Source organism: Homo sapiens, chromosome 3 (assembly GCF_000001405.40).
Source record: "Homo sapiens chromosome 3, GRCh38.p14 Primary Assembly".
In the NCBI taxonomy this organism is placed as follows: Eukaryota; Metazoa; Chordata; class Mammalia; order Primates; family Hominidae; genus Homo; species Homo sapiens.
This window is the reverse complement of record NC_000003.12, coordinates 196619135-196631503: the sequence shown is the minus strand read 5'-3', so window position 1 is coordinate 196631503 and position 12369 is coordinate 196619135. Positions and strand designations below refer to the sequence as shown.

Here is a 12369-nt window from a genome sequence, read left to right as displayed (position 1 = left end):
AGCAAAGGGTGTTACCACATTTCCACAGAAGGTATACAAATGGCCAGTAATCATGTGAAAAGATGCTTGATATCATTTGTCATCAGGGAAATGCAAATCAAAACTGCAATGAGAGGCCAGGCGCTGTGGCTCACACCTGTAATCCCAGCGCTTTGGGAGGCTGAGGCAGGTGGATCGCTTGAGCCCAGGAGTTCAAACCCAGCCTGACCAACATGGTGAAACCCCGTCTCTACAAAAAAATACAAAAATTAGCCGGGCACAGTGGCCTGTGCCTGTAATCCCAGCTACTCAGGAGGCTGAGGCAGGAGACTCACTTGAACCCAGGAGGCAGAGGTTGCAGTGAGCCGAGATTGTGCCATTGCACTCCAGCCTGGGTGACGGGAGTGAAACCCTGTCTAAAAAAACCCCAAAAACAAAAACTACAATGACATATCACTTTATATGCACTAGGATGCCTAGCATCAAAAGGTCAAATAAAACAAGTATGTGGAGAAACTGCGACCCTCATACACTGCTGGTGGGAATGTAAGATGGTGCAGAAACTTTGGAAAGGAGTCTGGCAGCTCCTCAAAAGGTAAAAGCATGGAGTTATCAGGTGGCTCACAAATTCCATTCCTAGGGACCTAAAAGAAATGAAGACATGCTATACAAACACCTGAAGACATGCTATACTAACACCTGAAGCCATGCTATACTAACACCCGAACATGAATGTTCAGAACAGCATCATTCATGATTACCAAGAAGTGGAAAAAACCCAAATGTCCATCAACTAACTGACGAGTGGATACAGTATATCCATGCAGTGGAATTTCTTTTTCTCTTTCTTTCTTTCTTTTCTTTCTCTTTCTTTCTTTCTTTTTCTTTCCTTCTTTCTTTCTTTCTTCTTTCTTCTTTTTTTTTTTTTTGATGGGATCTCTTTCTGTCACCCAGGCTGGAGTTCAGTGATGCTATCTCAGCTCACTGCAACCTCCTCCTGGGCTCAAGCGATCCTCCCACCTCAGCCTCCCCAGTAGCTGGGACCACAGGTGCCTGCCACCACACCCGACTAATTTTTTGTATTTTTGGTAGAGATGGGGTTTCTGCCCAGGCTGGTCTTGAACTTCTGAGCTCAAGCGATCCACCCGCCTCAGCCTCCCAAAGTGCTGGGAATACTGGCTTGAGCCACTGCGCCCAGCTATGCAGTGGAACATTTCTCAGCCATAGAAGAGAATAAAGTACTGATACATGCTACAACAGGGACAAACTTTGAAAACATTATGCTAAGTGAAAAAAGTCAGTCACAAATGATCACATGTTACATGATTTCATTTACATGAATTGTTCAGAGAAGGCAAATCTGTAGAGAGAGAAAGATTAGTGGTTACCTAGGTCTGGGGGTTTGGGGGAAAATGGGAGTGACTGGTAATGGGTATGGGGTTTCCTTTTGAGGTTATGAAAATGTTCTAAAATTGTGGTGATGGTTTCATGAGTATGTGAACATGCTAAAAGCAATTGCCTTGTACACATTAAATGCGTAAATTATATGGTAGATGAGTTATAGCTCAATAAAGCTGTTCTATAAAAATAAACCACTGGGCACTGTGGCTCACGCCTGTAATCCCAGCACTTTGGGAGGCCGAGGCAGGCAGATCACCTGAGGTCAGGAGTTCGAGACCAGCCTGACCAACATGGTGAAACCCTGTTTCTACTAAAAATACAAAATTAGTTGGGTGTGGTGGTGCATGCTTGTAATCCCAGCTACTCAGGAGGCTGAGACAGGAGAATCACTTGAACCTGGGAGGTGGAGGTTGCAAATGAGCCGAGATCACGCCAGAAAAAAAGAATAGGTTAACATAGACTCAGTATACAAGAAAGGGAAGTGTGGCGGCTCACATCTGTAATCCCCGTGAAGTGGGATTTGTTTAACATTTTTTGAAAATCAGAATAAAAAAGATTAGTGCTTAAACTGATACTCTCTAGTTATTTGGAAAATACATTTATGTAAAACATGTGTTTTCCTATTATAGTCTAAATTAGAACATTGGAGCACCTAGCAACATCTTAAAGCTAGTTAAACAGAATGACATCATATTTTGACCATACTGTTTTGAAATTGTGCAGTTTCTCTTTGTATCTCTAGAGTGATTCATGAATATGTATTTGGCTTCTCAAATTAAAAATATTTCACTGCTATTGAACTATTCCTTTAATATCTGTATAAATGTTTTTAAGTATTATATTTTGAGGATTTTGAAGCTTTAGGTTTCTTATTTAAAATACAATTATCGGCCAGGCATGGTGGCTCACACCTGTAATCCCAGCACTTTGGGAGGCCGAGGCGGGTGAATCACAAGGTCAAGAGATCAAAACCATTCTGGCCAACATGGTGAAACCCCGTCTCTACTAAAAATACAAAAAAAGTTTAGCCAGGCGTGGTCGTGGGCACCTGTAGTCCCAGCTACTCAGGAGGCTGAAGCAGGAGAATGATGTGAACCCAGGAGGCGTAGGTTGCAGTGAGCTGAGATCGCACCACTGCACTCCAGCCTGGCAACAGAGCGAGACTCTGTCTCAAAAAAATACAATAATAAAATAAAATAAAAAATAAAATAAAATATAGAATCATCTGGGCCAGGCACGGTGGCCCATGCCTGTAATCCCAGTACTTTGGGAGGCTGAGGTAGGTGGATCCCTTGAGCTCAAGAGATTGAAACCAGCCTAGGCAACATGGTGAAACCCCATATCTACAAAAATACAAAATGCAAAAGAATTAGCCAGGCATGGTGGCACGCGCCTGTTGTCCCAGCTACTCGGGAGGCTAAGGCGAAAGGATCATTTGCACCCAGAAAGTCGAGGCTGCAGTGAGCCAAGATTGCGCCACTGCACTCAAGCCTGGGTGACAAAGCGAGACCCTGTCTCAAAAACAAAACAAAATTTTAAAATTGCCACAATTATCCTTAATCTTATGTTGGAGATGATTACTAGGGAGATCATTAATATATAAAATATATTCTACTATATTAATAAATTATATAACATATTAGTATAATGTATTAAATATAATTATATTAAGAATAATATAAATATTTTAAAATTATATAATTTATATAAAGTAACTAGATAATGTTAAATATCAGGAAACTGCAGGAAGTTGGTATTCCTTGTTAAGAAGAAAGGTGCACTCATCCCTTTGAGAGCAGAAATGACTCTTCTTCTGTTTGAGGATAAAAGGACGATGTCCCCAGAGCTGGAATCTATAATAGTCAGTATTTGCAGGGGTTGTGTTTGACGGGTGCTCAGCGTCTGAACCTCTTCACGGCTAAGAGGAGCCTTTTCTTGCGTGGCGTTGTTTGGAAACAGAGGCCTATCCCTTGGAAATTAGGATTTGGTTGCATGATCTGGGCTCAACCATCGGAATGTGTGCTAAGAAACCTGGGCATGGAGCAAGTATGTGAGGAAGCTGCCTCGCTCCAGGGGTGGCAGCCGCAGCCTCTGATGTCCCAGGCAGTCACAGTGACACAGCCTTCCAACCAGGCCGCCCCCTGGCATGACCATGGCTGTGGGTGCAGCTGCCCACCTCCCCTGCTGCTGCCATTTGCTCACCTGCGTCTCCAGCCTTCGCACTGACATTTACCCACTATCCTTCCAATAAATTCCTTTCCTGCTCAAGTGAATCAGAATCAGTTTCTGTTGTTTGCAGTTAAAAACTCTGACTCATGGGCCGGGCGCAGTGGCTCACGCCTGTAATGCCAGCACTTTGGGAGGCCGAGGCGGGCGGATCACGAGGTCAATAGATCGAGACCATCCTGGTCAACATGGTGAAACCCTGTCCCTACTAAAAATACAAAAATTAGTTGGGCATGGTGGCCCGTGCCTGTAATCCCAGCTACTTGCGAGGCTGAGGCAAGAGAATTGTTTGAACCCAGGAGGCAGAGGTTGCAGAGAGCCGAGATCGTGCACTGCACTCCAGTCTGACGACAGAGCAAGACTCCGTCAAAAAATAAAAATAAAAAATAAACAAAAACAAAACAAAACAAACAAACAAAAAAACCCTGACTCATTCTCCATGTAGGAAAAAAAATGCAAACTAAACCCCTCCAAGTTGAGAAAGGTGAGGAGAAAAGGAGGAGAGACAGGGGAAGAAAAGAGGTACTGGGATTTGGAAAGGTAAAATAAGTTTTTTCCTGGAATTAGCAGAAAGCAATGACAGCAAGTCTTGCCAGAGTAACCCGCTGCATTACCCACAGCTATGTGCAAAGCTGCCGGGCTCCCAGGGAAACCAGAGCTGCAATTCAATTGGCAAAAGTCAAAAATGACAGTCTATTACCCCAGTGGGAACTGAGTCACTTGAGTGACAGAGTAATGGAATTATTTACAGAGGCAGTAGTGTCTGATATTCTGAGATGATGTTTCCTGGTGGGCTATACTTTAGGGTAAGTTAGGTCTGGAAATGCCTAACAGCATAGGAGTTAAATGTTAGCCAAAACTGCATAACAAGATAGAAAAAACTTTATTTGCAACATGCTCAAAATATTAGCGGAAACGTTAATAGACCATAAATGTTTATAGGTGAAGTAATCTCAAACCAAACTTAAAAATAAGAAATTGATAGAACTGACTTACAGTCGGTTATGTGAGAAGAATATTTGCAGTTTGGGTCAAATTACTATTTAAGCTATTCTGAAATTACAATTCTACATAATTATAATAACAAACGTGATAATTTAAATTACTGACCAGAAGCTAATAGATTCTAAGTATATAGTGGCCTATAGGTGAAATTTGATAATACTAAATTTGAAATCTTTCTTTCTTTTTTTTTTTTTTCTTCGTTGAGACGGAGTCTCACTCTGTCCCCCAGGCTGGAGTGCAGTGGCGCGATCTTGCCTCACTGCAACCTCTGCCTCCTGGGTTCAAGCGATTCTCCTGCCTCAGCCTCCCGAGTAGCTGGGATTACAGGTGCCCACCACCACACCCAGCTAATTTTTGTATTTTTAGTAGAGACAGGGTTTCACCATGTTGGCCAGGCTGGTCTCGAACTCCTGACCTGATGATCTGCTGCCTCAGCCTCCCAAAGTGCTGGGATTACAGGCGTGAGCCACCGCACCTGGCCTAAATTTGAAATCATTTCAATGAAATGATACTTCTTTCAATCTAGGGTCCTCTTGATCACATGGATTGGCTGAAAATTATTAATAGAAAATTTGTAAAAGAAACAGACTCACATAGACTTTGTTCTATGAGCAAAAATGCCCTGTTCAGCAGTGGTGTGGCCTCTCTGTGCCTCCATTTCCACATCTGTAAAATGGTGATAATAATAGTTGTTGTGAACAATGAAACAAATCAATCCTGTAAGCCCTTAGACACAGCGCCTGGTGCATATTAAGAACTCTGTGTTTATTGTTCTAACTGTGATTGCAGGTTTTTATCATGTGGGGCAAAGGGAGATGTATTCTCAATGACCATGGAAGGGAAAGCAGCCTTGGAGAGCCATTTAGTTAAAATGAGATTACTTAACTCAGAAAATGTGGCATTCCCAAAACTTATTGAAATTTAGGGGGGGAAAGAGCAGAACTCTCTTTCCAACGTCTCAAGCCATGGTTTAGAGAGGGATCCACAGAGAACTATTCCACTTGGGAACCCACCACCAGTCCCAGATGCGGGGCCACCATTATCCTCCTGCCAGCCACGTCTACAGTGACTGTAAGATGGTCCACAGGCGGGGCCACCATTATCCTCCTGCCAGCCACGTCTACAGTGACTGTAAGATGGTCCACAGGCGGGGCCACCATTATCCTCCTGCCAGCCACGTCTACAGTGACTGTAAGATGGTCCACAGGTGGGGCCACCATTATCCTCCTGCCAGCCACATCTACAATCAGTGTAAGATGGTCCACAGGCGGGAAGAAGCAAAGGTGTTTAAGAAAAGCCTGTCTGCACGAATCGTCCGGGGAGAACATGAAGACATCCTGGAAGTAACCAAGAAAGCCCTATGAGGAGTGGAGGGGGTGTGCTGTCATAGGTCACAGGGATAGAAGGCTGAGGGTGGAAAGCAAGGAGAGATACCAGAGAGGTATCTCTGTCCACTGCATTGGGAGTTACCCAGCTCCCACAACCAGACTCAGGAAAGAGACCACAGACCCCTCCCTATCACAAAGGCGACCCCAAGGTGGGGAGATGCTGATGGGAGATCTTCACATCCTCGGACCTGCTGAAAGTCCATCCGGCGGAAACCAGAGTCTTTGACAGGCGCGTAGAGCGAGAAACAGAACTTGGGCTCTGGAGTCAGACCCTGGCTCGAATGCCCACATCCCGCCACCTGCCAGATGGATGAACTTGAGCAAGACACTCAGCATCTCCGTGCCTCCGCTTCCTCATGGTAAAGGCGCCTTTGGCACAGAAAGAACTCGGTAGGCGTCAGCTATTATTATTGCATGCCGACAATTTCATCTTCCAGAGAGTGGAGAAGTAGTAAGCGGAACTGCCACTCTGAACTAAATTTGGCCAAAAGGAGGAATTGGTTGGCAGAGTGGAAATGACAGGAAGCTTGGGAGAAAGCAACTGTGTCTTCTTCAAGTATATAATAGCGAGAGAAATGGCAGGGCCCAGTTAGACGTGGTCCCTAGATTTTACCAATTAAAAGAACATACCATGGCTTGAGACGCTGGAAAGATGCTCAAGAATTGAGTACTTCCTAAGAACATTCACTGTGCCCGTGAAATCTCAATTCAGTGAAAAAGGAGGAAGGGGCTTAAAGAAACCCTAAGGTTGCAGATGTTTGTGATGTGATTGTGGGAGAAGGTGAGCCTGAGCTGAACAGGGGGTGCTTTCGCCCGCAGAGGAACGTAAGGTGGAACAAATGGCAGCATGCTTCTGAGAAAGTGAAAGCCCCACGTGAATTGAGGCCCGTACAAGGGCTTCATAAAGTCATATTCAAAGCAAAAAAGGGGATACGCTGTTTGCGGTCAGTGTTGTCATGTTGGTGGGTGACAAGAGAAAGCAGAACTCCTCAATGTGTATTTTGCTTCTGTTTTTCCCTGTCAAAGGGAGCATTCTTAGAACTGAAACGCCCGGAGGAAAAGTTAACCCAAAGTGGCAGAAAAAACTGTGAGAGACCCCAGTATCTGTATATGAATTCCAGGAATCTGACCAGAACAAATGATTTTCCAGAGAGTGGGGAGTTTTGCAAATAATTTCCCTCCATGCATTGTCTAAGGGCTAAACCTCTTAGGGACAAGCATTTAGTACAATTTTCAAAAGAGTAAAGACACTCAGTTCCACACGCCTCAAGCCATTTTGTTTACTGAGTCCAAGAATCAAAGCCACTTATTAATGAGATGGCGGTGGTCACTAGGAGTCCCTGTAGGGAACTAAAGAACGTTTTGTTCTAAAGAACATGTTTTCTGGAACAAACTCACACAGTCAGTTGAATTCTTTGGTCATCTTTCCATGACACTCATTTGAAACATTTCCATTTTTGTCTATCTTTATTCCACTGAAATCTTTTTCACTAGGATCAATTATTTTTCATTTAATTTTTTTTTTTTTTTGAGACGAAGTTTCTCTTTGTCAGGCTAGAGTGCAGTGGCATGATCTCAGCTCACTGCAATCTCCACCTACCGGGTTGAAGCAATTCTCCTGCCTCAGCCTCCTGAGTAGCTGGGATTACAGTCATGCACCACCATGCCCAGCTAATTTTGTATTTTTAGTAGAGATGGGGCTTCTCTGGGTTGGCCAGGCTGGTCTCAAACTCCCAACCTCAGGTGATCTGCCCACCTCAGCCTCCCAAAGTGCTGGGATGACAGGCATGAGCCACTGCGCCTGGCCTAATTTAAATTTTTAAATTCAGTTTTGTCCCAGTGCGTGGTCCAAAAGTGCATCCAGTTGTGCAGGATGGGATCAGAGAGTGGAACTGCAGAGAGAGTCTATGTTGGCAGCAATCAGGAAGGGAGGTGCCGCCTGTACTGGGCCTGGAAGATGGCCCTGGCAGCTCAGCTTCCTCCTTCCCAAACAGGCCCTGGGCTGGGAGAGCCTCTTACTTGTTTCTGCCTCAACTCTAGTCTCTGTGCTTCTGCATCCACACCAAAGTGGAGAGAGATCCCCGTCTCTCCAAAGGCTGGGAAGTGCCCTGGTAACCAGGATCCTTACAAGAATTGTGAAGCAAGGCAGTGCCCTTCTCTGTTACCCCCTGGGAAGCCCAGACAGCTGGTTTGGTCTACAAGGGAATCTTTGTTTTTTTCAAGATGGAGTCTTGCTCTGTCACCCAGGCTGGAGTGCAGTGGCGTGATCTCGGCTCACTGCAACCTCCGCCTCCGGGGTTCAAGCAGTTCTCCTGCCTCAGCCTCCCGAGTAGCTGGGATTACAGGAGCCCGCCACCACACCTGGCTAATTTTTGTATTTTTAGTAGAGACAGGGTTTCACCATGTTGGCCAGGCTGGTCTTGAACTCCTGACCTCATGATTCGCCCTCCTCGGCGTCCCAAAGTGCTGGGATTACAGGTGTGAGCCACCGCACCTGGCCTACAAGGGAATCTTAAACTTGACTTGCCACACAACCCTCTGGTACTCTGGCAACTCCTGTGGACTCCTCAGAATCACGTTTTTAAATGTAGAAAATGAAATACATACTCAAGGAGAAGAAATAGACTACATTGAAATACAATTCTATCCATAGACCCCTTGAATCCATGGACTCCAGGTTAAAACGTCCTGAGAGGGCAGCAGATAGTAGTTCAGAATTCAAATGAAAGAGGTAAATGTATTATATAAGGTGAATGTTTTCAGAAGGGCCAACTAAGGTGGAAAATGAAAAGCTAACCTAAGTTTTATTTATATTCAAAATTTCATTTATTATTAAACATAAAAATTTCCAGATCAGCTCTAGTCCATTTACCCCTCTCACATCTTGATATTAACCTCAAAATTCAGGTTTCCCTGGGTGACTTAAAACTCCTTCATTTGTGTATTTAAAGCATTTTGGAATTGATTTTTACTTTCAAATTGTACTGCCTCTTAGAGTAATGAATTTCGTGAGTGTACAACCTTCTGCACGAGGTAATACTCCATTTTATTTATTTAAAGCATATCTCCAGGTGTAAGATGTCCTCCCTTTACTAACATTCTAGTCTATAATCAAACCGATCAGTTATTCATATGAAGATTATAAGTTCAGGCATCACATTTAATCGGTCCCGATATGACTGTTCTAGCTCACACTCCCAGCTCTTGATCTCTTCACTTCCCCTCCTTTAGACTTTGCCTGCCTTGCTGTTTTCTTGAGGCTGAACACTCACAATCAAAGGTAATTTTCCAAATGTGGACATAGAATGTGCGTTGCGTGGCCAGGCACGGTGGCTCACGCCTGTAATCCCAGCACTTTGGGAGGCCAAGGCGGGTAAATCACCTGAGGTCAAGAGTTTGAGACCAACCTGGCCAATATGGCAAAACCCCATCTCTACTAAAAACACAAAAATTAGCCTGGCATGGTGGCGAGTGCCTGTAATCCCAGCTACTAGGGAGGCTGAGGCAGGAGAATCGCTTGAACCCGGGAGGCGGAGGTTGCAGTGAGCGGCTGAGATTGAGCCACTGCACTCCAGCCTGGGCAACAGAGCAAAACTCTGTCTCAAAAAAAAAAAAGAACGTGCGTTATGATATATTATGTCATATCATAGGAAACAGTTGCCATCTGCAAGTTAGGCAATTTGAGGAGAGTTTAATAAAGGGACTAGTACCCAGTGTGGTCACGGCAAAGCGGGAGCCCAGGACTTGCCCCAAAGGGCTGTTACTTCCCTAGGTCTGGGGGAGGCAACAATGATCAGAGCCCAAAAGGTGAGAGTCCACAGGCGCCTGGAGAGGCTACTGGAGAAGCCCTGTGACCCCTGATCTAGGGAAGCAGCTCCCCGAGGAAGCCCTGCAGGAGGAAACCAGGGGAGCAAACACGCGACCACTCTCCCCTCCCTGACGGGGATCCCTGTTTAGGGACCCCAGCTAGAGGACAAAGGACACAGGTCTGCTGAGCAGAGAGCAGGGTGGGAGAGGGTAGACAGTGGATCTGGAAGCTCAGACGGAATACATCCGGCCCGTTGTGATTCTATGCAACAGTGGGATGAATGTTACCTGTTGGTTTTGTTTGTTTGTTTTGTTTTGTGTTGAGACAGATCCTTGCTGTGTCGCCCAGGCTGGAGTTCAGTGGTGTGATCTTGGCTCACTGCAACCTCCGCCTCCCGGATTCAAGTGATTCTCCTGCCTCAGCCTCCCGAGTAGCTGGGATTACAGGCGTGCACCACCACCCCCCGCTAATTTTTTTTTTTCTATTTTTTAAGTAGAGATGGGGTTTCACCATGTTGGCTCAGGCTGGTCTTGATCTCCTGACCTCGAGTGATCTGCCCACCTCGACCTCCTAAAGTGCTGGGATTACAGGCGTGAGCCACTGCATCTGGCCACCTGTTTTTTTTTGTTTGTTTGTTTTTTTAAACGTTGTCACCTGTTTTACTTCTATTATACTTTTCTAATATGTTATGTGCAGTAGCATCTTTGCACTGAATGTTCTTAAAGAGCCCTTAATGACTTATTCTTTGCCTTGCAATGTGTCATACTAGAAATAGAACTTAAATTATTATTTCCCGAATGTGTGACCAGGCATTTACTTACACCAAAACCTAGTCACTTTTCTTACTGTTAACATAGCTTCACACAATTTCCCCACAGAACTATTCCCATCAGTTTGACTTTTTATTACCTAAAATAACTTAATATTAGTCTCACTATTTATAGCCTATTATTTTTATACTCTCCTCCAGATAATGTATACAAGCAACTTAAAGTACAATCTGGACTAATGAGGACTCTTTTAATCACTAGTGATAGAAACCCAACTCAAACTGGTGTAGCAGAGGAATTGATCGGTTCATGTTACTAAAAAGTCTGATTTAAAGCAAGACTGGATCCACGCGCTCAAACAATGCTTTCAGGAATCTGTGTCTCCAACTCTCAGCCCTGCTCTCCCCTGACTCTACCCGGGTGGCATCAAGGGTGCGTTCTGGCAGTTTCGGGCCCATGGCCTGCTAGTCTAGCAATACCAGGGGGAAAGAGGCCTCTTTCAAAACAGTGCAGCAAAAGTCCCAGGACGGAACCCCCTTGTGTGACCTGGGGTCAAGTGCCTCTTCCGCAATCAGTCACTGTGGTTGGCGGGTGGGATGTGCCTATTTTTCTGGACTGACTCATATGCCGATTCCTGAAGCTCCACCCAAACGACATGGGCTCCTGTTGATGGAGTAGGCCCTAAAGAAAAGCAGGTGCTTTCATCAGAAGAGGGGTAGAGGTTGTACAGAGAAAAATCATGCTCATCTTCTTCCCAAGGTTAGTACTGATTCCTTAGAAGAGTTACTGTTTATACTTCATCCACAGAAGACCGTTGGTCTCCATCCCTCATTCCTGGTTTCTAAGCAACTCCCCGTTTACCAGAAAACAGCACTTGCAGTCCTAGAATATGTGTAGTTGCTTTTAGAAAGTAAAAAGGTTTTTGAAAGACTTTTCATTTTGTTCTGTACCAAGAAAAATTCTTCTGCCTTGGGATCCTGTTGATCGGTGACCTTACCCCCAACCCTGTGCTCTCTGAAACATGTGCTGTGTCCACTCAGGGTTAAATGGATTAAGGGCGGTGCAAGATGTGCTTTGTTAAACAGATGCTTGAAGGCAGCATGCTCGTTAAGAGTCATCACCACTCCCTAATCTCAAGTACCCAGGGACACAAACACTGCGGAAGGCCCCAGGGTCCTCTGCCTAGGAAAACCAGAGACCTTTGTTCACTTGTTTATTTGCTGACCTTCCCTCCACTATTGTCCTATGACCCTGCCAAATCCCCCTCTGCGAGAAACACCCAAGAATGATCAATAAAAAAATAAAATAAAATAAAATAATTACCAAAAAAAAAAAGGTTTTTGAAAATGTAAATAGATTACCTATAACAAACACACACGTTTCCCCATAACAGAGTTTCAATAGAATAAAATTCCCTCTTAATAGCCTGGTTGTCTTTTCCTGTAATTGCTTGTGTTTCCTGAGGAGTTCATTACAAAGACCAGCTGACTTGTCGAGTTGCATCGCAGTGCAGAGAGCGCCGGAAGGAGAGAGAAGCTCACACTTTAGATCCAGCTCTGTTGCTCACAAAGGGCCTTGTTTGTCCATGAGTAAAATGAGGTTGGACAAGAATTCCAAAGTTGATTCCAGCAATAAGAACTTAGAGTTCTATTCTGAAATATGTATCATCAAAGAGATAGGAGGGCAGGCATACCACTCATTTAGGACAGAGAGGTTAAGGTCCTCAGCCTGCAGCCATGGGCCACAGATGGGAGGAAGAGTTGCAACCCCAAATTTCACAGGCTTAAAGAAG

At 44.7% G+C, this 12369-nt stretch overlaps 1 annotated feature.

Moving 5' to 3' along the window:
* Positions 11221-11290: an enhancer, noted in NCBI's record as "active region_21096". NCBI's record gives its function as "activates an Ori minimal core promoter by ATAC-STARR-seq in GM12878 lymphoblastoid cells {active_cell/tissue: GM12878}" and the evidence as "EXISTENCE:reporter gene assay evidence [ECO:0000049][PMID:35858748]".